Raw genomic sequence first — 27,231 nt, 5'->3', positions numbered from 1 at the left:
TACTGTTTTATCTAATCCAGCACTAGAAAATAAAGTCAAACTCTCTCCTCAGCATGACCATTTATGTCCTGGGACACTTACCTTACACAGGTATGGAGGGATATTTCAATATTTCAATGTAGGTTCTTTCTATTTTCCCTAAGTGTCGGCCGGTCTGAGAAACAGAGAGAGTGTAAAGAGAGAAATTTTACAGCTGGGCCTCCGGGGGTGTCATCACATATTGGTAGGACCGTGATGGTGACCTCGAGCCGCAAAACCAGCAAGTTTTTGTTTGAGATTTTAGAAGGGGAGGTGGTGTATGAACAGGGAGTAAGTCACAAAGATTACATGCTTCAAAGGGCAATAAAGATCACAAGGCAAGGCAAAATTAGAATTACTGATGAGGTTCTATGTCCTGCTGTGCATGCATTGTCTTGATAAACATCTTATCAGGAAACAGGGTTCGAGAGCAGACAACCGATCTGACTAGAATTTACCAGACTGGAATTTCCCAATCCTAGTAAGCCTGAGGGTACTGCAGGAGACCAGGGCGTATTTCAGTCTTTATCTCAACCGCATAAGACAGACACTCCCAGAGCGGCCATCTATAGACCTACCCCCAGGAATGCATTCCTTCCCCAGGATTCCTTGCTGGGAAAAGAATTCAGCGATATTCCTCCTACATGCACATCCATCTATAGGCTTTCCGCAAGAAGAAAAATATGGCTCTATTCTGCCCAACCCCAAAGGCAGTCAGACCTTATGGTTATCTTTCCTTGTTCCCTGAAAATTGCTGTTATTCTGTTCTTTTTCAGGGTGCACTGATTTCATATTGTTCAAACACACGTTTTACAAATAATTTGTACAGTTAATGCAATCATCACAGGGTCCTGAGGTGACATTCATACTCAGCTTACGAAGATGACAGGATTAAGAGATTAAAGTAAAGACAGGCATAGGAATATAAGAGTATTGATTGGGGAAGTGATAAATGTCCATGAAATCTTCACAATTTATGTTCAGAGACTGCAGTAAAGACGGGTGTAAGAAATTATAAATGTATTAATTTTGGGAACTGGTACATGTCCATGAAATCTTCACAAATTATGCTCTTCTGCTGCGACTTGAGCCGATCCCTCTGTTTGGGGTCCCTGACTTCCCGCAACACACAGGTGACACTGTCCCATCTTCTCCAACACAAACAGACACACACATACACTTAGACCTTGGCAGGTCAAAAGAGCTGGTATTTATGCAGGCTTTGAGGCAAATTCATGCTGTGGATTTTTTGCTATATGCTGCTCTTTATGTCTAGAAATGTTTTTCCTATTTTTTTGTCTAGATAAATCTTTTTATCTTTTCTTTTTTTTTTTTTTTTTTTTTGAGACAGAGTCTCGTTCTGTCACCCAGGCTGGAGTACAGTGGCACGATCTCAGCTCACCGCAACCTCCACCTCCTGGGTTCAAGTGATTCTGCTGCCTCAGCCTCCCAAGTAGCAGGGATTACAGGAGTGTGCCACCACCATGCCCGGCTAACTCCTGTATTTTTAGTAGAGATGGGGGTTTCACCATGTTGGTCAGTCTGGTCTCGAACTCTGGACCTCATGATCCACCCGCCTCAGTCTCCCAAAGTGTTAGGATTACAGGCGTGAGCCACCGTGCCCAGCTACCTGTTTAAATCTTATTGCTACTGGAAGACTCAGCCATCATCTTCTTTAAGAGCAGAACAAAATATTCTTTGATCTCGCACTCTATGTGTACCTATCATGCTATTTACCATGTATATTAAAGTTACAGGCCGGGCACCGTGGCTCACACCTGTAATCCCAACATTTTGGGAGGCCGAGGCAGGTGGATCACCTGAGGTCGGGAGTTCGAGACCAGCCTGACCAACATGGAGAAAACCCATCTCTACTAAAAATACAAAATTAGCTGGGCATGGTGGCGCATGCCTGTAATACCAGCTACTGGGGAGGCTGAGGCAGGAGAATTGCTTGAACCTGGGAGGTGGAGGTTGCAGTGAGCCAAGATCGTGCCATTGCACTCCAGCCTGGGCAACAAGAGCGAAACTTTGTCTCAAAAATAAATAAATAAATAAATAAATAAAGTTACTTGTTCTGTCCCTTTCCACTTAATGCCCCATGAAATCTGAGTTATTTGAGGGAAGAGATATTCCTTTGTCAGCTTTTCATTCCCAGCACCTAGCACAGGTCCTAGCACACAGCAGAGTCTTGGTGTATTATTTTAATTCTAGTATTTATGTATTGAATTGTGGAGGGAGCAATTGCTTCTTGTTTGAATGCTCAGAGAAGTCCCCATGAAGGTGGAAATAGGTTAACTGGGCCATTTTATTGGAAAGTAATTTTGTTGTTATTCTTAGCTTTTTGTTTGTTTTGTTATTCTTTCCTTTCTTTCTGTTGTTCTTTTTTTTTTTTTCTTTTCTGAAGGTGTCTTTTTGATAAGCCATAAGCTCTTCAGAAAACACTTACGAATAGATCACCACATTCCCTGTTCAATTTCACCTTATTTTCCTGGTCAAAGGTCTCTGTTTTTCTGTATTCTACTGTCTGACCACAGGAGGGTAGCATTTTTCCACAAGTCCAGGGAAAAAAGTGTGAGCTCAAGGAAAACCTAAAGCTGATTTTATGTGATATTTTGATGCCCCTTGGTTTTGCATTTCAATTCCCCACATCCATATGAAAGTAATAACCTAAACATAAGCATTGCTTTGTCCATTCCTCCGGCATGATTGTTCACTATCTCGGGTTTTGTAGCCTCTCCTTATTTCAGGGAGGCTGGATTGCTTTCTTCGCCGCAGGCAGCAAATTCATTTCCAAATACAAAGACCCAGCGAAACTTAGCGACCTCCAAATAGTTTCAGACTTGGTCAGACGCCAGATAAAAGAGGTCAAGGCAGTTCATCAGATTCACTCCCTAATTCCCCACCTCTGAAACAAGTTTTCCCCAGAGAACCGACAAGCAAAGGTATGTTATTGTGTCTAGAGTTTTTCCCATTGTGTGGATGACCTTGATTTTTTAAAATAATATTGTTAATGTTTTAAATATTTTTGCCGGAACATTTTATGTTTCTTAAAGGGATTTTTAAAGAAAAAAAAAAGACAATTTAACAAAAAGTTACCGCCCAAGAATCCCAAGAATGAAAAAACAGCAATAATTTCTTCTTGTTCTTACAAAACATTAGCTAGATAAGCTTTTATTTCATTAGTCTGCCATTCCTAACCATAAACGGCATTTTATAAGTCACTCGGTAATTGACCAAGGATCCCTGCTTCTTAGTGCTGTACCTCCTCAGTTATTAGGGGCTGCTATGGGAAAGCGCCATTCAAAATAAGCCAGGTGCTTTAATTTTATTTTAATTACAAATGGAAATTAAGCAGAGATCCAGTGATGCTGGCTTTTACTCCTTCTGATCTATTTTTCTTTCTATTCTGTTACAAGAGGCAATATGTATATAGGAGACATACGGACTGGGTCCTAATTCTATCTCTGCCACTAGGTATGTGTCATTGAAGAAGCGACTTGAGCATTTTAAATCTGCCCCCAAATGGGATAATCATACCATTTACCTTGTCAGGCTGTTGAGAAAATTAAATAAGATATGTAACAGGATTCACACAAAAAGTTGCAATGTGTGCTATATAGTAAAGGCTCAATAAATCACACTTTTATTAATTATGTTGTTCAGTTCATCTGTTAGTATAAAGGGATAAAGTGCAGAAGGATAATACGAGCGTATAAAGCCTGAAAAAACAGGAGCATGAAAGGATGCCTCTTACCCAGACACCCTGCCTTCATCATCCTCCCCTGATTCCTGGTGCTCTCTGAAAAAGCTAAGCAAAACATCATCACCAAGAGCACTGCAACGTTGAGTAAATAAGCAGTGATTTATTTAAATAACCAAAAAAAAAAAGTCTTCCTGTTCAGGATTGGCTTAATAGTTTGTAGAGGAAGAACAAACAAATCTTAGGCAAAAATGCCGAGAACCAGGCCCTGCAGTAGCTAGCCCTCGCAGTACTCACCGACACCACAGGGCGTCGCTGTAGAAAAACCGCTGTGGTTTGGGGCGCCTCTCAGACATCACTGACAATTAACTTTTCATTTGATCATCAATTGTTTAATTTTTCGTGTGTCACTATCACAACAGGAGTCATTTTTTAAGACCTGAAAAGGACCTTAAGAATATTCATTTTTTCATTCTTTCTTTTTTTTTTTTTTTTTTTTTACCAAACATTTATTGAACAACTACAATGTGGCAGGCATGCCTGAATATGAATGAGAAAACTATGTAAGTGGGCCAGGCGCCATGGCTCAGCCTGTAAACCCAGCACTTTGGGAGACTGAGGCAGGAGGATCCCTTGAGCTCAGGAGTTCGAGACCAGCCTGGACTAGCCTGGCCAACATGGCAAAACCCTGTCTCTAGGCATGGTAGCAAGCGCCTATAATCCCAGCTACTGTGGAGGCTGAGGCAGGAGGATCACTTGAGTCTGGGAGGTGGAGGTTGCAGTGAGCCGAGATCACACCACTGCACTCCAGCCTGAGCAACAAAACAAAAACAAAAACAAAACAAAACAAACAAACAAAAAAAATGGGTGCAGTGGCTTATGCCTGTAATCCCAGCACTTTGGGAGACCGAGGCTGGTGGATCACCCGAGGTCAGGAGTTTGAGACCAGCCTGGCCAACGTGGTAAAACCCTGTCTGTACTAAAAATACAAAAATTAGCCGGGCGTGGTGGCACAGCCTTATAATCCCAGCTACTCGGGAAGCTGAGGCCAGAGAATTGCTTGAACCCGGGAGGCAGAGGTTGAAGTAAGCTGAGATCACTCCACTGCACTCCAGCCTGGGTGACAAGAGCAAAAACTCCATCTCAAAAACAGAGAGAGAGAATACTGTGTAAGTGACTTGCCTACTGGTGGAGCTACTAAATGGTTGAGCCAAGACCTGGGTCAGATCATCTGACTTCAAGTTTAGTGAACTTTCCCTAAAAATAACAATGTAATTATTTTATATTATAATAAAATTAATTTATATTATATAATCCGGCCAGGCACGGTAGCTCACACCTGTAATCCCAGCACTTTGGGAGGTCGAGGCAGGTGGATCGCTTGAGGTCAGGAGTTCGAGACCAGCCTGGCCAACCTGGTGAAACCCCTGTCTATACTAAAAACACAAAAATTAGCTGGGCATGGTGGTGGGCACCTGTAGTCCCAGCTATCTGGGAGGCTGAGGCCCGAGAATCAGTTGAACCCGGGAGATAGAGGTTGCAGTGGGCCAAGATCGTACCACTGCACTCCAGCCTGGGTGACAGAGTGAGACCCAGTCTCAAAAAATAATACTACTACTAATAATTAAAGTTTATTATATAATCCTATATAATATATCTTAATATAATTATCAATATAACTAACATATAATTCACTATATATTAAATAAATAACAATATAACAATGACTGAGTCCCTACGATGTATAAAAATTTTTCATGCATTTTTAAATTGGCTATATGGCCTCTAGAGTGATCTGAGGATATAGGCTTTAGAATACTATGTTTGAATCCCAGCTCTGTTCCCCATTAGCTATATGACCTTGATCGACTTAATGAACATCTCTGAGGCTCAATTTTCTCATCCATAAAATAAAAATAATATAATCTGGGCTTATGGTAAGGATTGAATTAAATTAAATTAAAACATTATTTAAAATATTCATAAAATGCCTGGTACAGGGTAGAAGCCCAATCATTATCATTCATGCTCCTAACAAATTTGCATTTACTAAGGAAGAAAGTAACAAATAAAAGTTTAGTAACTTGCCCAGATTTATTCAGCCAATAAGTGGCCAAGTCAGAATCCGAATTCAGATCTGATTCCAAAGCTTATGTTCATTTCACTATTATGTTGCCAGTGTAATTTTGCCTCCAGACATAAATGTCTTTAATATAAATGTCTTTAATAAATGTCTTTAATATTCCTCCATGCACCTGGAACAGGCTACACCTGGAATAGGCTACACATGTAAGAGCTAATCTACACATCTATTAAATGTTAGCAACACTTTTAGACAAGGGGAGGATAGAGAATAGGAACGTTTTGTCTTGTTTTTGTTTTCCTCTTTTTCTGTTCCAATTAATGTACTAAGGATTAAGAGGGAACATAGCTCACTTCCCTCTTTTTCACTGCTCTGTCTTTCTCACTAAAGACAAAAGGATATGGCGCTTCACTACCTAGAAGGTTATGAATCCACACTGTTATCCACAAAGAATCCCTAAGGTTTTTTACTTCCTTTTCAAGTTTAAACCAAGGTTCTTTTCCCAGTTCCCGTGATCTGCCTCAACAGAAGGGACTCAGTGAGTCCCTGCATTTCTGGCATTTCTAGAAGGAAAGGGACAGGACCAGGAGGAGTGAAGGCCCCTGAGTGTGCGTGAGATCAACAGCTGCCTGCTTGGTGGGAACTGAGGGGGGCTGAAAGGATTCTACCCAATCGCTACCCCCGCAAACACACACATCCTCAAATGTCGTCTTGGAGTTAAATATGTATCTATATTCCAGGAAGTCCCTGGGCAAAATGGAGGTAATTTACCCAGAAGGATCATATAATAAGATATTAGAATCCATTAACAGAAAGCCTTGCCTTTTTACTAAATTATTTAGCTGCTCTATTTGGAAACCCTGAAAGGAAAAGAAGCATCATGTATGATAAGGGAATGTCCTATTAGGGAAATATGTTTTACTGAGAGACCCAGATGAGAGGCACATGGGGAACGGGGATTAACCAGGACAACTGTAAATGTCGTACCAAGAGTATTGTGTTGGTAAACAGGCTCTAGGAAGCGAGGGTGGGGGGCTTGATTTATACTCTGCAGATTTCTTCAAGGTAATTATTTCACCATAGCTGATTTCAAACTACCAATGACAAAATTCCTAAATATTTAACAAATGGCCTCCAGGACTGACACAAGCCAGCTCAGGCACATCACTACCAATAATTTTGGAAGGATGAGGTTACTTCCGGCCAATGACAAACAGTGTGACTTTTCAAAGCAGGTGTGTGTTTATCCCTGTCAAGTTCAATATGCTCCCTACCCAACCCCACCCCTCATAGCAGGGCTACAAAGGAATACGTAGAGTTAAGGTGGAGTAACAGCACAAATGAGTGCATGGAAAAACTGGTGAAATCTGAATACAGTCTGCAGTTTGCACGGTCCCAATGGCAGTTTCCTGATTTTGCCATTTTATTCTAGTTACTTAAGTTGTTACCATAGGGAGACGCTAAGTGAAAGGTATGGTGCACTATGTGCTAATTTGCCAACTTACTGTAGAGTTTATAACTATTTTAAGATAAAAAAGCTATATTAAAAAACCCTCAAGCAATATAGGAAAATACGTAGATGACAGCAAAGTTTGCCCCAAAATCATACCACACAGAAATAATCGTGATTATCATTAGGTGGACAGCATTCTAGACATCTTTTGGTGTACATATACAGATAGAAAAGGAAAGAGTTGATGCTACTTTTAGAGAAATAGAGTTCCAAAATAGATTCTATTTTTAAATACATGTAAATAATTTAATTGAACTTAACAGAAGAACCTGATGTTAAACTGTAAGAATCAGTAAACTTCAAATCACACACACACACATATATATTTATACCCATACAGTGGAGTATCAGATTTCATAGATGATGAGACCAGAGCCTGTGGGACCATGTTTTGGCTCTAAAATTAAGGCCTTTAAAATTATAAGTTGAGTTATTGTATTTCCTGTTCTCAGAGACCATAGCGCTAAGAAAGGAGGCATTGAGAGATTCAGCCCACTAAGGTTTCAGAAAAAAAAAATGCAAAAACACTGAACATTAACTTCAAAATGCCTTAGAACCTTGATTGACAACTAGGCTTTTTATATTTGACTTCCTGCTCTGTTTCATTAGCTGAAGCTTTTGACCACACTGTCCTCTTTTTATCTATATCTCGAGGCCACCAATATGATAATACAGTATTAATAAAAAATTAAAATGTTAATTTTGATGTTTTGTCACAGGGTTTACTTTGCTAAATATTTCAGTAATGAGCTAAACCACATTACAGATCTAGCCAGCTTTATAATTTTAAAAACTCAGCACAGTTTTTACCTCCTTTGAGTGTCATAGCAATCTGAACAACAGTCCAGGCTGATATTTCATCCCCATTTTAGGAGTGGTGAAAGTGAAGCTCACAGAAGATGGGCGGTGTGCCTACAGCCATGGGGAGGAAGTGGAAGGGCCATGGGATCTCACAGATTGCTGGACTTCCTATTGCTTTCTATTATCATATGTTAATAGAAGCCTGACATGGCTTTAGAACCTCCATATGTCAAATATAATTCAATGCACTTTGTAACACACTCAGGAAATTAAAGCTTAAAAGGAATTGAAATCTTCCCTACTCCCACAAAAGAAAAATATTTCATACCTACTAAGAGATTAGTAAGGATTTTTTAAAAATCAGATTAGCAGTTTATTTTATTTCATGCAACAAGAACTAAAGGAATGGAACACACAACATATAACTTTTGGTACTGGATAGGAAAAATAATAATAGCTAATATTTTTAATATGTCATGGCACTATGCCAAGTGATTTATTTTTATTATTTAAAATTCATAATAATCCTTTGAGGTATATATTATGATTATCCTGATTTTGCAAAAGAAGAAACTGAAGATTGAAAAATCAAACAGGTTAAAAAAAGATCTAGAATTTGAACCTGTATTTGTCTAATGTGAGGCTATATTATACTCTCTGGAGAATAGAGGAAGGCCACACCAACAAACGAAACCCAAGAATAATTAAAAATATAACTGAAAAGAAGGAAAATCAACCTTTAGGATTGTCATATATTCTCTACCTTTTCCTCCTAGTCCCCTTCTCCCCTCCAACTGCCAAAGCCAATGGATTCTATTTTTTCTCTTCCAAATCCAAAGTTGCTCTCTAAAAAGTGTCTGGATCTCGCTTAAGGTTAAGAACAAGTAACTCTTCACAGCATTGAAAACGATTGCCAGCTGGGCGCGGTGGCTCACGCCTGTAATCCCAACACTTTGGGAGACCGAGGCGGGTGGATCACGAGGTCAGGAGATCAAGACCACCCTGGCTAACACAGTGAAACTCCTTCTCTACTAAAAACACAAAAAAATTAGGTGGGCATGGTGGCGGGCACCTGTAGTCCCGGGAGGCTGAGGCAGGAGAATAGCATGAACCTGGGAGGCGGAGCTTGCAGTGAGCCTAGATCGCGCCACTGCACTCCAGCCTGGGCCACAGAGAGAGATTCCGTCTCAAAAAAAAAAAAAAAAAAAAAAAAAAACAACCATTGCCCCTGGGGCTTTAGATCCAGCTTTAGCTAATCATTTGGAAGGTTCATTTATTCAGTTCTCAGGAACCGGAAATTTGAGATAGGAAAAAACAACTATAAAAAATATGGCATACAGTCAACTGATTGTTGACAAAAGTGCCACGACAATCAAATAGGAAGAAAAGAGTCTTTTCAACAAATGCTGCTGGGACAATGTGTACCTACATGTAAAAGAATGAATATGGACATCTACCTTACATTCTATACAAAAATCAACTCACAATGTATCGCAGACCTAAATGTAAAAGCTAAAACTCTTAGAAAGGGGGTCTAAATCTTCATGATTGTGGATAAGGTAACAGTTTCTTACGTATGACACCAAAAGCAAAAGCCACAAAAGAAAAAAATAGATAAACTAGACAGCATTAAAATTAAGAACTTTTGTGCTTCAAAGAACACTACCAAGAAAGTGAAAAGGCAACCCACACATTAGGAGAAAATTTGGAAAACCATATATCTGATAAGAAACATGTGTATCTAAAATACATAAAGAACTCTTGGGCCAGGTGCGATGGCTCATGCCTGTGATCCCAGCAGTTTAGGAGGCCAAGGCGGGTGGATCACGAGGTCAGGAGTTTAAGACGAGCCTGGCCAACATGGTGAAACTCCCGTCTCTACTAAAAATACAAAAAAAATTCACTGGGCATGGTGGCAGGTGCCTGTAATCCCAGCTACTGGGGAGGCTAAGGCAAGAGAATCGCTTGAACCTGGGAGGCAGAGCTTGCAGTGAGCCAAGATCGTGCCATTCCACTCCAGCCTGGGCGACAAGAGCAAAACTCTGTTTCAAAAAAAAAAAAAAACAACTATGATTGAGAGATCACTACATAAAAAATACTGACAATACCAAATGCTAATGAGGATTTGGAGAAACTGGGTCTTTTATACATTGCTGGAAGCAATGCAAAATGATATGTCTCCTGGAAAACAGTATGATACTCTCTTAAAAGAAAATTTTTATTTATTTATTTTTGAGACACAGTCTGGCCCTGCTGCCCAGGCTGGAGTGCAGTGGTGTGCTCATAGCTCACTGCAGCCTTGACCTGTCTAGCTCAAGCAATCCTCCCACTGCAGCCTCCTGAGTAGCGGGGACTACAGCTTCCTGCTACCACACTCAGCTAATGTTTTTCTTTATTTTTTGTAGAGACAGGGTCTCACTATATTGTCCAGGCTGGTCTCAAACTCCTGGGCTCAAGTGATCCTCCCACCTTGGCCTCCTAAAGTGCTGGGACTACAGGCGGGAACATACCATGCCTGACCAAAAGGAAAGGTTTTATATAAATGAAATCATGAAATATGTGGTCTTATGTTCTTAAAAGAAAATACACTTACCATACAACCAAGCAACCACACTCCTGGGCATTTATCCTAGAGAAATACAAACTTATATCCAAACAAATTTTGTACATAATTGGTCATAACAGTTTTATTTGTAATTTCCAAAAATGGATCAACGAAAATGTCTGTTCAAGAGAGGAATTCTTAAACTAACTGGTCTATACCATAGAACATTACTTGGCAATAAAAAACAGTGAACTGGCCAGGCGGTGGCTCACGCCTGTAATCCTAGCACTTTGGGAGGCAGAGGCAGGGGAATCGCCTGAGGTCAAGAGTTCCAGACTAGTCTGGCCAACATGGTGAAACCCTGTTTCTACTAAAAATACAAACAAACAAACAAACAAACAAAAATTAGCCCAGTGTGGTGGTTTGCACTTGTAATCCCAACTACTTGGGAGGCTGAGGCAGGAGAATCACTTAAACCTGGGAGCCGGAGCTAGCAGTGAGCCAAGATGGCACCATTGCACTCTAGCCTGGGCAACAAAAGTGAAACCCAGTCTCAAAAAACAAATAAACAAAAAACAGTTAACTACTGATACATGCAGCTTGGTTGGATCTCAAAGGCATTATGCTGAGTGAAAAGGTCCAATCTCAAAAAATCACCTGCAGTATGATTTCATTGACAATAACATTCTCAAAGTGACAAAAATTATGGAGATGGGAAACAAATTGGTGGTTGCCAGGGGTTATGGAGGGAAGGGATGGGCGTAACTGTAAAAGGGTAGTGGGGAATATGTATACGTATAGATGAACAAGAACTACACAAAAAATCACTCAAATTAAGCCCATTGTTGCTCAGACTTCTCAGACATAAGCACCCAAGATAAAAACGAAGAGGAATTGCGTCACTGCACTCCAGCCTGGGTGACAGCGCAAGACTCCATCTCAAAAAAACAAACAAACAAAGAAAAACAAGAGAAATGAATCATCTTCTAGAGAAGTTATAATTCCTTAGACATCTTGTCTACATTGAAAATGTATGTAAGTAAATGATAAATAAACATGACACACTCCCTAAATTTTGCCAGCTTCTAAATATTCACCGTAACGGTGGATTTTAGTCTCTGGAAATATCTAAATCGTGGCTAAGATCCCCCAGTCTGGCAGAAAGGCTATGTCATTACTTCATTTCCTTCCACAGTAATTTTCTCCTTTCAGGTTCTTACACATAGAGAACCCCCTCCTCTTTCACTCCACGGGGCAGCTGGTTTCCAGCCATGGAGTAAATGCAAACTTTATGGTTCAGAACATGCCAGCAGCTGCCAAAGGATCCTAATTTTTCAGTTCTTGGACTATTATGAAGAGTTTTAGGCCAAGGTCATCAAAGACCGACTCCACTACTCAACAAGAGCCAGACAGGCAGGGTAGAGGGCTTCCCCTTGAGAGCCAAGTCCAGCTTCTCTTCGGTACAGACTCATTTCTCAGGGTCTCGGCTGCATGAACCTCATTCTTCACTTGGTCATATCCCTCCCTGGCAGGTGTAAAAGTACAAATCCCTATGTACTTGGCAGCCAGACACATGCTAGGACCCTGCATCAGTGAGGTTGCCCGGGCCCACCAGGCAAAACGGACTCAACAAGGAAGCCCTTCCCACACTGGAGCCCAGATACCTTCATGCCTCTCATTACAGCCCTTCAAGGCTTCCACCCAACTCTGAACCCTCCTCCTCAACATCCTGCTTTACTTAACATTGTGATTTATTTTCTCATCTTCGGCAAAGTCTCATACAGCCCACAGCACAGTCCAATTACTATTGTTAACATTGTTACTGACAGACACCACTTCACAAGAAAAAAACTTAGTATGTTTCTAGGGCTTTGTATACGTTATATAATTGAATCGTGACAAGAACCATAAAATTAGGCACAATTATTATCCTGATTTTCCAAATAAACTAAAAACGTAAGCAACAACAACTGAGGTCTTTATAGTTCCAAAGTCCCTGCTCTTAACGTTTCCACCGTAAGGCTTCCTGGGTCTGCTAATCGCCTTGTATTTCCATAATCAATACTGTGACCTTTGGAAAATGAGACACCTGGATGTGAACCTAACTAGGTGACTCGCTTGCGAAATGGCACTTGCAAACCAGATCGCCATTCAAGCCTTGGTCCCTCATTTGTGAAAATTAGGGATTAAAATAATGCTGCTTCACTAAATTGTTGTGTAAGTTAAATGAGATAATAAAGTATTTAAAGTGCTCAGCATGATGCCTAACAAACAATGAACCCCAGTGAATGCCTGTCAAATGAATTAAGAAATGAATCTGTAACAATTAACATAAATAGGGGAGAGAAGAGACAGAAAATGCCAAACAATGACTCACAGGAGAGCAGTAATACTTGGCTTTGTGATGTGGCCAGAGACATCTGGATAAGAAAATTCCGTGGCTGTCTACCGGTTCTATTGGCTGTTGCCACCTGCAGGAGCTCAGTGCTAATGAGACCACAGCCAGGAGGTCCTCACCCTTGGGCAATTCACCTTGCTTGGATCCACAGGCACCAATGGCATTTATAAGGCAGCCATTCAAAAACACTGTTTTCAAGAGGGACTGGCACCAAAAATAATTACAATTGAAGAACACTCTCTATCTTTGTTGCTGGACAAACAATTGCAAACCAACATGCCACTAACATCAAAAGAGGGATAACTTCAAAAAGATAGCAAAATTCACAAGAACACTGACTCACATCTGTGTTGAGCCCAGTATTTCTGTATCATCAGCTCACTGGTTCTGGGACTTTGAGATTTCCCTTACTAGTAAAATAGTGGGAAAAAACTCAAAAAGGTGTTTTGTAAAGTAACATTTTTTAACAAAAAGAATGGAAAAAACTCCCCCCCCCCTTTTTTTTGAGACAGAGTCTCTCTCTGTCAACCTGGGCTGGAGTGCAGTGGTGCAATCTTGGCTCACTGCAACCTCCACCTCCCAGGTTCAAGTGATTCTCCTACCTCAGCCTGTAGCTGGGACTACAGGCGTGCGTCACTATGCCCAGATAATTTTTGTATTTTTCGTAAAGACGGGGTTTCACCATGTTGGTTGATCAGGATGGTGTCTATCTCTTGACCTCGTGATCTACCCGCCTCGGCCTCCCAAAGTGCTGGGATTCATTTTTCTAACTGCGTAAAACTTAACACTCTTCACACTTATCTTATTTTTCTTATTTTACTACAGGCTTATAAAAACTTTGTTATGTGCCTAGTCCAGTATACAGATACACACACATACACACACACGTACATACACATACAGGCACACATATATATGTATGGATAAGTATTGGAGAATGACTTCATTATATTATTTACTTCATAAAAACCCAGAAACAGGGCCAGGTGCGGTGGTTCATGCCTGTAATCCCAGAACTTTGGGAGGCCTAGGTGGGTGGATCACCTGAGGTAAGTAGTTCGAGACCAGCTTGACCAACATGGAGAAACCCTGTCTCTACTAAAAATACAAAATTAACCGGACGTGATGGTGCATGCCTGTAATCCCAGCTACTCAGGAGGCTGAGGCAAGAGAATTGCTTGAACCTGGGAGGTGGAGGTTGTGGTGAGCCGAAATCACACCATTGCACTCCAGCCTGGGCAACAAGAAAGAAACTCCATCTCAAAAAAAAAAAAAGAAAAGAAAAAAAGAAAAAGAAAAAAAACAGAAACAGAGATATTATTTTCAGTTTACAGAGACAAATACTAAAGGTAAAGAGATTTTCCAGAGACACAGTGCATTAGACAGAGTGGGTGGGCTCAGGCCAAAAAGGTTAGGCATTCAGAAGATCTTATCACACAGTGCCACAAACTGTGAGATACTAAGGAATTCACAGAAGGCATAAATTTAGGCATACCCAAATTAAGGCAAAATTTACACATATATAGCTGCAAATACATAAATGAAAATTGGAAATGTTATCGGTTATGTATAGTGCTTTTCCACTCTCCAAAAAACAGACTATTGGCTGGGCACAGTGGCTCATGCCTATAATCCCAGCACTTTGGGAGGCCGAGGCAGGTAGATCACCTGAGGTCAGTAGTTTGAGACCAACCTGACCAACATGGTGAAACCCCGTCTCTACTAAAAATACAAAAATTAGCTGGGCGTGGTGGTGGGCACCTGTAATGCCAGCTAGTTGGGAGGCTGAGGCAGGAGAATTGCTTGAACCCAGGAGGCAGAGGTTACAGTGAGCCGAGATCGTGCCATTGCACTCCACCCCTGGCAACAAGAGTGAAACTCCTTCTCGGGGAAAAAAACAAAAACAAAAAAACGGACTATATGTATAGATACAGGTAAGGGTAATGTTTTAATCTATATATTGCATATTATGTAGATTCAAATTGAGAGACCACAGCATCACCATTCACCATTCTCTTTCCCTCTCTTTCTCCCTTCCCTCACGTTCTTTTCATACACCTGTATCCTCTTGGTCCCACCAATACTCTGCCTTTCATATACTCTGTACACTTTGAGAGGAAAGAAGGATGGAATGAAGTTTTTAATAAGTTTTCAGAAGCAAGTTGATAACAAAAGCATCTTGGAAACTCAGCTGATTGAAGGCCAGTCAAAACTTTGCTGCAAGTTCCCAATATCATGATAAAGTGCTTCCCCCAAGATAAGTCAGCCTTAGTTCTACCAGATACAACTACTAAGTTCCTGGTCTACAGAATTACTTCTCTTTAGAGTCACTATTTTAGAACAATGCCTGGTGTCAGCATAATTGATGTGAAGAACATTCTTTGATGACTAGACACCCAGCATGCAAACACTACTAGAGCTAACAGCAGACAGCTGGGTGAGTCAGCTTAGAGTCAACTGCATCCATGGACCTGTGTTCTTCAGGATATTGATATGTGCACCTTTCTGTACTCCAAACAGCAGCAGCAGCAAAAACAATGACAAAAATGCGTTATGTTCACATTTATTTGATTAACACTGGAAGATGTTATTTTCATAGAGGCCTGCTTAGTACCTTTATCCAAATGGTCATTATGAATCTCCAAATATGCTGAGTTTTTCAAATGTATTTGACCAAAAAACTCTTTTTACAGGGTTTAAAGAGGCAACTTAAAATAAAAAATTCCTGGACTACCATCCTGACTAACACGGTGAAACCCCGTCTCTACTAAAAATACAAAAATTAGCTGTGTGTGGTGGTGGGCGCCTGTAGTCCCAGCAACTTGGGAGGCTGAGGCAGGAGAATGGCGTGAACCTGGGAGGCAGAGCTTGCAGTGAGCCGAGATCGCGCCACTGCACTCCAGCCTGGGGGACAGAACGAGACTCCATCTCAAAAAAAAAAAAATTCCTAGACTATTGCCTGTGGATCTGTGGTTTGGGAAATTATGTTCAAGCCTCAATGTGCTAACAAGGATAGCTTACTTGAGACATTTCAGATTGGCAAATTCAGATTGGCAAATATGTTTTTTGGTTTTTTTTTTATTTTTTTTTTACTAACTTTGTACCCTAAAGTGAAAAAGGTAAATTGTAGATGTATTTTTTTATTTTCCAAAACCATGACTCCCTGGAGTTGGGTCTAACACATTCTGTAATTTTTCTCCTTTTCAAGACCCAAAGCGACCTCCCTCTATAAATCCACTCTCAACTATAATTATACGAGTGAAAATTTAATAAAAACTCAAAAATTTGCCAATAAGCACAATGCATGCAATCTTTCATTTAATCCACAAGTCAAAGCTGTAAAATAACTATGATGACTATCTCCACTTGCAGATAAAAGATCTAAGTCTTGCTAGGTTAAGGTGTTTTTCAAGATCACTTGAATAATCACTGGAACCGAGGCACACTGTCTGCAGAGCCAGCATCTTTCCACAACTATTCCTTCTCAGCTGTGCATGTCCTAAAGCCCACCCTTGCCTGTCCCTTCTTGATACTTTATCATACTTGGGCATGCATAAAACCTGCATATCACTCTACTCCTCCTGCCATAGTGCCTTAACACTGTGTTGGGTATTTTATTAGCACTTTTTGATTTGAATAGAGACAAAAAAAATACCCAAAAGGATCAAGACATCTCCACGGGGAAAGGGGGCTGACTGAATGTCCCTTCCCAGACAAAGGCTGTGTCCATCTTTTCCTTTGTGAGCTGTTCCACACTTGAAGGATCCTCACGAAGCACAAAAGACCTGTGAAAGGGGAAGAGCAGTCCAGCTGACTGATAGAAAGCCTTCTCTGTGTCCTGTTCCTCTGACTTGGACCCCAGTGAATACCATTTGTTTAAATAATGATCAGAACATAATAGATACGATGAGGTTGCCAAGAGCCTGGTCATTCAGCCTCAGCTTGGCTAAGGGGGGAAAAAAGAAAGAAAGAAAAAAAACCCACCCTGATATGGCCATGGCATGGTTCACTGGGCTCAGATTTCCCCACTCTGAAGTTTGAACTGAAATCCCAAGATCTATCAATTTTGGAGAACAAAAAGTTGGCAGACAAACAGAACCTTCCCCTCATCTCCAATAAATAAATACATTTTGAAAAGTGGGATGGAGAGTACTGCTAACCACATAGGAGTAATTATCAGAATGGCAGAACAGTGTTATTCCCATCCTGTTACTCTCCCTAGTTGGGAGTGGAGGTGAGTGATGTATTTTGGAAAGGCAGAAGTGTGCAGGAATAAGGAACAGGACTTCTGCTGTTATTTGATTGAGGTTTGAGGCCTAGCTCTTCTTTGCTCACATTATGTGCCCTTGATCAAGTTGTTATTACTTCTCTGAGACTTGTTTTTCTCAGCTGAAAAAGTGGAGAAAATACAGCCACAAGTTTTATGAAGATTAAATGACTTACTCTGCCTAAGGGCTGTGGAAGTGGAAAAACTTTGCTCATCTTTGGAAGCCAGAATCTTCACTATCAAGCCATGGATGATGCATTAACTCTTCTCATCTCCGCTCCCATCCAAGAGCCCTAAACTCTCCTCCTCCCTGCTTTAGCCATATGCCACACTAAAAAACAAAAACAAAAAATCCAGGAGCATGTAGTGCTTAAAATCCAGTATAGTAGTTGCTACCGACCATGTATCAAACATGACAACTATCCCTGGTGCACCTGGAAGCCTGATATTCTAACTTATAGAGGCATATACATACTTCCCTGGCCTCCAGCAGAAAGAACTTGGCAGAGAAAACTCAGAACTAGGCCAGGCATGATGGCTCTTGCCTGTAATCTCAGCACTTTGGGAGGCCCGAGTGGGAGGATCACTTGAGCCGAGGAGTTTGAGTCCAGGCTGGGCAACATCAGGAGACCCCATCTCTACATAAAATAAAATAAAATAAATTAAGCAGGCATGAGGACATATACCTGTGATCTCAACTACTTGGGAGGCTGAGGTGGGAGGATCACTTGAGCCTAGGAGCTTGAGGCTGCAGTGAGCCATGATCATACCACTGCACTCCAGTCTGGGCAACAGAGTGAAACCCTGTCTCAAAAAAGAGAAAAAGAAAAAGAAAACTCGGAACTGCCCAGTAAACAATGGTCACCGAATATTGTTCCTGTAGATGGAGACTGGTTACTGAGGTCCACACTTCTCCAGGCAGGAGTGCTATTGTCCAACTAGCAAAGCCTATGTCTGCAGTGTTGCCAATTGAATTTCCTTTCATTCAATTCTCTGTGTAACCAAGAGGAGTTACCAGATGGTGGGAATAAACCTGCTCACTGATTGGAACCCTGCACCCCTGAGAAACAGTACTTCCTACATAGCAAGTGCTTGATAAGTGGAAGCTACTTTATAAATGCAAAGTATGACTCGGGGGGTGAGAAGCTTCGTTCCAAGATGGTAAGAACTTCTAACTATATATGGATTATTATCCAGATGACTGCAGAATATTGTCCTCACCATTCATGAAATGTCTTGTAATCTCCATCAATTTCACCCAGAACTTTATTTTCTTTAAACCCAAACTCCTTAATCTGGTTCAAAATTAACTCGTTATTTTCCAAAATATACCAACATGTCTTCTGGGCTAGCTTTCTCCCATTAGTCCATTTTCTTCTCACTCTTGCATTATACTCCCTGCTGTATAAGTGGACTCTACTTACAATTTATATCAGAAGCACAGCTTGGGTATTACAGTAAGACCCTGTTTCTACAAAAAATTCTTTTAAAAAATTAGCTGAGTATGGTGACACATGCCGGTAGTCCCAGCTACTCAGGAGGCTGAGGTGAGAGGATCACTTGGAACTGGGGGGTACAGGCTGAAGTGAGCCGAGACTATGCCACTGCACTCCAGCCTGGGTGACACAGCAAGATCCTGTCTCAAAACAAAAGTAACATCCAGGTACAGTGTGGTTCACGCCTGTAATCCCAGCACTTTGGGAAGCCAAGGTGGGCAGATCATTTGAGGTGAGAAGTTCGAGACCAGCCTGACCAACATGGTGAAACCCTGTCTCTACTAAAAATACAAAAAAAATTAGCCAGGTGTGTTGGCGCATGCCTGTAATCTCAGCCACTGGGGAGCCTGAAGCAGGAGAATCTCTTGAACCCTGGAGGTGGAGGTTGCAGTGAGCCGAGATCGCACCACTGCACTCCAGCGTGGGCAACAAAGCAAGACTCCGTCTTAAAAAATAAAAATAAATAAAGTATACTCAAATTATTCTAAAAAGTATTTGGGTAATCTCATATTAATTTAAATTAACACTAAACCATATGTCTCCAACACACACACACACACACACACACACACACACGCACGCATACACAATTATTACATAAAATCAGGAATCTGAGAGAAAGGTGACTAGATCACAACAAAGAAACTCTCCATCCTCTCCCCTACTCTATTGCTGTGGGTATGCAGAGAAGGATTTGCTGCCCTTACCCTAAGAAGCTGGAGACTATGTTAGGCTCCATGGGAATAAACAAGGAAATTGCAACAAAGTGAATTACATACAACTACCAAAAAATCTCAGTAAAGGAAAGCATTTGCTCATTAAATATCTGGACATGTAAATCTCAGAAATTTTATCTTGGCCTGATGTGGGCAATAAATTAAACTATATTAGTTCACTTTCTTTCTTTCTTTCTTTCTTTCTTTCTTTCTTTCTTTCTTTCTTTCTTTCTTTCTTTCTTTCTTTCTTTTTTTTTTTTTTGCCTAGTTACAACTCTCTACCCCCAAGCTGAGCCCACCCAGGGTGATTCTTCAAGAGAATATAATTGGGGAATTTTGGTCTCAGTGTGAGGCCTTCAGAACTTAATCACAGGAGTCCAGAATCAAACAGCCCTTAAAAAGCAGTTCTTTCAGTTTTTATACAAAGAACTTCCTGGAACACAAGGAAGCATCATACTGGCTCAGCCCAGCATCTACTCCCCCTCACAGAACTAGACTGACTATCCTTGTCTCAGGTGGCTCCTCAGGCAGTGGGCGAGTCCTTTCTATCAGTCCTTTCTCTCATGGTTCCCTCTGTTCCTACCTTTGAAAGAGAAGCCAAGCTGAGTGATTAAGAGTCTGCCCTTGTAAGAAAAGGAGTTGGGAATTACAAGATGATGTAGCTGGCAACTTCCCTAGCTGAAAAGAGAAACACGCAAGTCTAATTTTTATGCTCTTCTGCTTTTGAATCACAGTTTTTTAAAAAATCAAATAATAATAATATGTCAAGGAAAAAGCAAGGTCCCACCAGACTCCTGGAAAGGAGCCTTTGTGTTGAGTAGGGAAATGTATGTGAACACATGAATTAGAGAAGCCAAGAATTTAGAAAGGGAAGGAATGTGGAGGGATCCAGAGGGGAATACTGTGTCTAGGAGGGAAAAGAAGTTGAAACCAGCAAGATGGGGAGGCAATGGAAAGGAGGATTGGGAGAGAGAGAGACAGTGTGTGTCTGGCGCTTAGACAGAAAAAAAAAATAGAAAAAGAACAGAAATAAGAAAAGTAGATTTCTCGAAGTTTGGACATATATTTGAGATGTTCATGTATTTGTAAAAGAAACGAATCAGCCTTCAAGCTGCTGTAGGGTGGGCAGAGACAGCTAGGGGATCCCGTCCATTAGGGTTATAGTTCTTTTTTTATTTAATGCTTTGAAAAGGCAAAATAGATCAATTTACCTGTCTAAATTCAGTACCTTGGACTTCTTTAGCAAATAAGCTATTTAGTGAGCTTTCTTTCCTGTTCTGATGGCAGATTTTTTCTTCTGCTGGAGTGACAGGGGAGAATAGGGGATATGAGATAGAATTATTCTTTCCTCAACTAGTCTTTCTATCATGACTGGATTTCAGTTCAGCTATACTTTAATAAACCCATATTTTGAGCTTAGCATGTTCAGATGTTTATGATTTCTTTTTCTATATGTAAAAGAACAAAGATTAAGAGGTTTAGAAACTTACCCCAAGTTCCATGGCCAAAATGTGAAGACATGTTTTGATTCCTGGATGGGAGTTCTTTCCACCACAGCTGTCACCTGTGTATTTCTCAAAGTGTGGTCCGCAGATCAACAGCATCCACATCCTCAGAGAGCACAGTAGGAATACAGCATCCTAAGTCCTACCCCAGACCTCCTGAATCAGAATCTGCATGTTAAGCAGGCCCCCAGGTGGTTCATAAGCACGTTTTGGTTTGGGAAGCTGGCATTCCATCATACTGCCTTCTCCAGCTAGAGGGCATTCCTCTCTAGCCACAGCTTTATTCTGGCTATGAAATAGCTGAGAAAAGCTCTGTGTGAACTTGAAAAAAATCTATGCCATTAAGACACTATAGAGGATACAAAGCAAGCCAGAGAACAGAGGGTACAGAATAATTCTATTTTAAAATATATATTTTTGAGACGGGATCTCATTCTGTCACCCAGGCTGGAGTGCAGTGGCACAATCATGGCTCACTGCAGCCTCAACCTTCAAGGCTCAATCAATCCTCTTACCTCAGCCTCCCGGGTAGCTGGGACCACAGATGTGCACCACCATGCCCGGCTAATTTTTGTATTTTTTTAGAGACCAGGTTTTGCCATGTTGCCCGAGTTAGTCTCAAATTCCTAGACCCAAGTGATCCACCTGCCTCAGCTTCCCAAAGTGTTACAATAAATTATATATATAATAGGTATATATATCCATGCAGAAAATAAAGGCTAGAAAGATTTAGGAGAAAATGTTGTCTCTGGTGATGCGATGATAGGCAATCTTGTCTCCTTACTTTTTTTTTCATTGTTCTAGTTTTCTTTTAGAAACACCTGTTAATTTTGAAAAGTTAGGTTTTCTACAGTAATCTTTACTAAATTTGGCTTGCTAAGGGGTGAGAAAAGTAATGCATGAGAAATCTGGGAATTGGCATGAGTGATCCCAATAGAATGCCACTACTGAGGTTTTCTTGGATATTAATGGGCACATAGGGTTCACCGTGTTTATCAGCCTCCTGCACCTACTCTACTCATGTCCAGGGAGGGGTTCATTCTTCTGGCCCCCAGGGGGCAGTCCTCCATAAGTTTACAAAAGCCTACTCTTTTTCCCCCACAGTGTGAATAATCAGGCATCATATTGGCCACAACTCAGCTACACCAAGGTCTGAGAGATTCTGGGCACTTTAACAACAACAGCAAAATACTATAGACACCGAGAGATAATATTTTATAAACAGAGGCAAAATCCCCAAATAAACAGAAAAGAAACAGAACACAAACCACCCACATTGCTCAGCCATAGCACCAAAAGATTTCCATCTACAAGAACATTCTTGTGTTTGGGGAGGGAGGGCAAAGGTGGGAAGGATATACACAACAAAGACATTAGACACAAGGTTCAGATTGCTAAGGTCCGCTTCTATTAATACCTCCTACTATCTGTTAAACCTTGGGCAAGTCACTTAACTGTTCTGCTCCTCTATTTCATCCATTGTCACTTTCTCAATCTGCAGCCTTGAAGATTTTCTGAGTGCTTTAAAAACTGTGAAGTGTGCAAAGATAAGCTTCTTTGCTGTGCTGGTTGCTCAACATTTTCCCTCTGGATCCATTCTAACCCCTTCTCTGAGTTAGTCTGTGCCTTGAGATGCTGATGTTTTTGGATTGTGTCATACAGGCTCTCTGGCCCATTGGCATCTGTTGGGAAGTAACAATTAAGAGATTAGAGAACAGGAGAAGACAGAGGTAGACACTTCCTTGCCAGATACCTATGTTATCTTAAAGAAGCCCCAGAAGAATAGCACTACCAACTTATTACGCAACGCTGACGGCTAAAAGGCATGCTTGAGATTTTACAGTTGTTTTGTGCTAATTATTAAATGTCAGGTTTTCTTATTCACCTTGTTGCCAAACACTGAATAAACCTCAGAATGTTAGAATAGGGTGCAATTTGGGGTATTAGCTTAGTAGTTTCCAAACTACAGTGACAGTCATCTGGTATCCAAAGAACGGTGGAACAGAACACCAAGTGTGTGTGCTTGTCTGCGGCATTGCCTGCAGGTGGAATAAATCATGTGTCACATACAGAAACTCCCTATTATTTTCCAAGTATATGTAAATGGACTTACAACAAAATGCAAGGTCTTAGAAAGGCACGACAGAATTCATGGGGGCTTGTAACTCATTGCATAATTTTTCAATAAGCAGTAATTAAAAGGGCCGTTTTTTAATCTACAAATTTTGGAAACAACTAGGTTCACTTCTAATGAAATCAAACTTTTTATTGTTTTTGTTCATCATTTCAGGTAAATTATTTTCCCTTCCTTTGATTCATTCAACAAAAACTAAGTGAGATCCTCATATATGTTTAGCATTGAGCTAAACATTTGTATTTCTTCCAAAAGTGAAAAAAAAAAATCAACTCATGGACCTTATGTTCTAATGACAAAGGAGTTCATCATACAAATTATTACACAAATATTTGCTTAAATTAAATTTGTGACAAATGCTACGAATCGAAGTTATAGGCTGAGAATGTAGATATACTAGGGGACATAGCCCATTCTAAAGTGTTAGTCAATAAGAAAGAGATACAATATTGAAGTTGAGACTTAATAATACCACTGAAGGAAGCCACTTTGCCATAATTTGTTCTTCACTAAGCCAGTGGACACCACCCAGGACTTCAACAAGTGTCTCCTGCAGCTGGTGTTATGCAAACTGCTCAGTAACTTCCCAATGTCTTGCTCTTGAACTTAGGCAAGAAAGAACTCTAAAATGAGCATCTTAAAATTGTCAATATATTCCTTTCAACTCTTGTTAAAACTGGGCATTTTGCTTCTTGCCATGCATGTATTTTTCAAGATGCTAATCTTAAGGCCCTTCATGGGCTGTGCATGGTGGCTCACGCCTGTAATCCCAGCACTTTGGGAGGCTGAGGGGAGCAGATCACCTGAGGTCGGGAATTTGAGACCAGTCTGACCAACATGGAGAAACTCTGTCTCTACTAAAAATACAAAAGCCGGTCATGGTGGCACTCGCCTGTAATCCCAGCTACTTGGGAGGCTGAGGCAGGAGAATTGCTTGAACCTGGGAGGCAGAGGTTGCAGTGAGCCGAGATCGTGCCATTGCACTCCAGTCTGGGCAAAAAAAAAAAAAAAAGTCCCTTCGTGCTAGATTGTAACAGAGGATGGTGAAGTAGAAGTTTCATTATGATGAGTAGTATTTTTCCTTACTATTGGAAAATTAACCCAGAGTGGATGAAATGTGAATGTATTTGCTTAGTTTATCTTTAAAAATACTCTGGACTATATTTGAATAAATTTATTAGTCTTTGATTCTTAGAATGTTTTTTCAGATTTTAAGTGTGTATATATATACATATATATAGTGTTGTGTTTATATATACGTGTGTATATATATACACATATATAGTGTTGTGTATATATATACAAGTGTATATATATGTATGTGTGTGTGTGTGTGTGTGTGTGTATATATATATATATATATAGAGAGAGAGAGAGAGAGAGAGAGTTGATTCAGAACCCAGTTTTAGCATGTGCTGTGGATAAGGTGATTTTAAGAGGTCAGATTGGGGGAAGGGAGCTCTTATTTTCTAAAATTATGGTTGTCAAGGCTACAAAGTTGAATTAAACTTACTTTGCAAAATCCTTGAAATCTTCTAATGTTTGAGGAAAAGAAAACTTTATGCATATCATATAAAGTAAATCAATATCAGCAAGGACCTTGGCAATACCCTAATGAGCCCTAAGTGAATGTAATCATGGAAACAGTAGAGAAGTGGTAAAATAAGACTCAGCCATTGCAAAATCCCTTGGCAATTGTTGAGTGAGGGCTGTACATAAAGCAAAGCCCACACTGGAAAACTGAGGGAGGGTTGCTTAATTCCTAAAGAGAATGGTTCTCTGCTACCTGCCATGCTGGGAATAATTTTAGAGAGATATTTGGCCAAAGATATTAAGGACTAATGGTGGTTTAATTGGTTTTTTTTGTTTTTTGTTTTTTTCTTTTTGTTTTTTGTTTTGAGACGGAGTCTTGCTCTGTCACTCAGGCTGGAGTGCAGTGGCACAATCTTGGCTCACTGCAACCTCTGCTTTCCAGGTTCAAAAGATTCTCTTGCCTCAGCCTCCCGAGTAGCTGGGATTAGGGGCGTGCACCACCACGCCCGGCTAATTTTTGTATTATTGGTAGAGACAGCGTTTCGCCATGTTGGCCAGGCTGGTCTCGAATTCCTGACCTCAGGTGATCCGCCCGCCTCGGCTTCCCAAAGTGCTGGGATTATAGGTGTGAGCCACCGTACCCGGCCTTTTTGTGTTTGTTTTTTTGTTTTGTTTTTTGTTTTTTTGTTTTTGAGATGGAGTCTCAATGCTGGAGGCGCGATCTCGGCACACTGCAACCTCCGCCTCCCGGTTCAAGCAGTTCTCCTGCCTCAGCCTCCTGAGTAGCTGGGATTACAGGCTTGCACCTCCACGCCTAGCTAATTTTTGTATTATTAGTAGAGACAGGGTTTCACCATGTTGGCCAAAATGGTCTCAAACTCCTGACCTCAGGTGATCCGCCCACCTGGGCCTCCCAAAGTGTTAGGATTACAGGCGTGAGCCACTGTGCCCGGTGGTTTATTTCTTATCTCACTCTTAGCCCCAAAGAACACACTATTCAGGCTCGGCTATTTCAGAATGTCAGTGGCTTCTCTTCTTGTTCCTCAAATCACACCACTCCTAATACCATAATAATCTGTCAATCTCCATGCCAGACAGTGAAACCTCAACTTCCTCATCTATAAGATTAGGATAATGCTAACTTTCACCAATTGCCAGAGGTTTTAAGCGAGGCAATGCATGTAACAGATTTAACCGCAATTACTTGTATGTAGCAAAGATTTTTAAATACTAGCCATCATTATTAGCACTCTTTTGTGGTAGTTAGGGAAGCGGCCATGTACTCATCACTATATTCTTAGCACCTATTACAGTGTCCAGCGCATAGAAGAGGTTCAAAATTTATGGAAAGAGTAAGGATATTATTAAAAATCGAGGATTCCAGGGCTTAGAATCCAGAATAATGAAAGATCTCTTTTTGTTTTTCACTCATCACATCAAAAAATCCAGTTAGACTCCACAATCTTACTCTGACACTGAGAAAAGTGAAAATTTCAATGGTTTTATCCTAAACAACAAACACAAATAATATGTTTCTCATTAGGGAAAAAAATACCTTGACCACCAGTTTCCAAACACTGACTTCCTGAAAGAAAGTGGAAAAATCCAAATCTAAATAAAAATCTGCAGCTTCTCCAAGACCCACGCTCCAGGCCATATCAACTAATACTCCGGGAGGGAGTAGTTTCTGTCCACCAATGGAACTAGCTTCCCTTTGCAAAGCCCCTTTTATAGGCAGAATTCCTTTTCCATTTCCTTGGGGTTTTATTTCACTTTGCGGGCTGTTTGCAATATTCTGGTTTGAGGGAGTAAAAGGGAAAGAGGAGGAAAATGCAGGGTGAGTTCCTCCAAATGTCAGGCTGGGTAGTGCCAGGACAGCTGGGCCTGAAATCCTGTACCTAAGGAGGGGACTGGTATGGCTGAGAAGAATGTGAGCTCAGCCTCATCTGGTTTCTTTTAATGCTCGAAGCAAAGAGCCTGAGTTATTGCATTCTTTCTCGATGTCTTACATAAAATCAGATTATTAAGTGCAGAGACAGTCGACTGTTCTCTGTCCTCCTGGCTAGCTTTTAGCATCCCCATAGCAACGTCAATAAACAGAGAAATAAATGAACTTCTGAAGAACAAGTCTGTTGGCTTTGCTGTCTAAATTATTCTCACTCTCTCTGCTTAAAGACACACACACACTGTTATTGTTCTCCTTCCTAAATCTATGTGCTTTTTTAGCCCGGTGATGACGTTTGAGCTTTTACATTTAGATTTTGATCCATTTTGAATTTGGTTTCTGTTACTCCTTTGTTTAAAAAAATCTTCAACTACTCACTGTCATCTACAGAATTAAGTCTGTTTCCTTTGCACAGTATTCAGAGTTCACTTGATCGCTTTCTTTTCTTTCTTTGTTTTCTTTTTGAGGCAGAGTCTTGCTTGCTCTGTCGCCCAGACTGGAGTGCAGTGGCGCAATCTTGGCTCACTGCACCCTCCACCTCCTGGGTTCAAGCAATTCTCTTGCTTCAGCCTCC

General features: G+C 40.8%; 1 long non-coding RNA gene across 1 annotated transcript in view, besides 5 other annotated features; it reads right to left on the bottom strand.

Moving 5' to 3' along the window:
• JAKMIP2-AS1 (JAKMIP2 antisense RNA 1) overlaps positions 1 to 21,174 on the bottom strand; it is a 102,016-nt gene extending 80,842 nt beyond the window's left edge. Inside the window, exon 1 of the long non-coding RNA NR_038902.1 lies at positions 21,031 to 21,174. This is a non-coding gene — a long non-coding RNA (JAKMIP2 antisense RNA 1). The remainder of the gene's footprint in view (positions 1 to 21,030) is intronic.
• Positions 11,653 to 12,552: an enhancer, noted in NCBI's record as "NANOG-H3K27ac-H3K4me1 hESC enhancer chr5:146948179-146949078 (GRCh37/hg19 assembly coordinates)". NCBI's record gives its function as "activates a minimal SCP1, AML or CMV promoter by ChIP-STARR-seq in primed H9 embryonic stem cells {active_cell/tissue: H9 hESC(primed)}" and the evidence as "EXISTENCE:reporter gene assay evidence [ECO:0000049][PMID:30033119]".
• Positions 12,553 to 13,452: an enhancer, noted in NCBI's record as "OCT4-NANOG-H3K27ac-H3K4me1 hESC enhancer chr5:146947279-146948178 (GRCh37/hg19 assembly coordinates)". NCBI's record gives its function as "activates a minimal SCP1, AML or CMV promoter by ChIP-STARR-seq in naive H9 embryonic stem cells {active_cell/tissue: H9 hESC(naive)}" and the evidence as "EXISTENCE:reporter gene assay evidence [ECO:0000049][PMID:30033119]".
• Positions 13,453 to 14,352: an enhancer, noted in NCBI's record as "OCT4-NANOG-H3K27ac hESC enhancer chr5:146946379-146947278 (GRCh37/hg19 assembly coordinates)". NCBI's record gives its function as "activates a minimal SCP1, AML or CMV promoter by ChIP-STARR-seq in primed H9 embryonic stem cells {active_cell/tissue: H9 hESC(primed)}" and the evidence as "EXISTENCE:reporter gene assay evidence [ECO:0000049][PMID:30033119]".
• Positions 19,446 to 20,375: an enhancer, noted in NCBI's record as "OCT4-NANOG-H3K27ac hESC enhancer chr5:146940356-146941285 (GRCh37/hg19 assembly coordinates)". NCBI's record gives its function as "activates a minimal SCP1, AML or CMV promoter by ChIP-STARR-seq in primed H9 embryonic stem cells {active_cell/tissue: H9 hESC(primed)}" and the evidence as "EXISTENCE:reporter gene assay evidence [ECO:0000049][PMID:30033119]".
• Positions 24,847 to 25,346: an enhancer, noted in NCBI's record as "H3K4me1 hESC enhancer chr5:146935385-146935884 (GRCh37/hg19 assembly coordinates)". NCBI's record gives its function as "activates a minimal SCP1, AML or CMV promoter by ChIP-STARR-seq in primed H9 embryonic stem cells {active_cell/tissue: H9 hESC(primed)}" and the evidence as "EXISTENCE:reporter gene assay evidence [ECO:0000049][PMID:30033119]".

The sequence above is a fragment of the Homo sapiens genome, chromosome 5 (assembly GCF_000001405.40).
Source record: "Homo sapiens chromosome 5, GRCh38.p14 Primary Assembly".
Lineage (NCBI taxonomy): Eukaryota > Metazoa > Chordata > Mammalia > Primates > Hominidae > Homo > Homo sapiens.
Note: the sequence above shows the minus strand (reverse complement) of the source record. Positions and strands in the feature narration are given on the sequence as shown.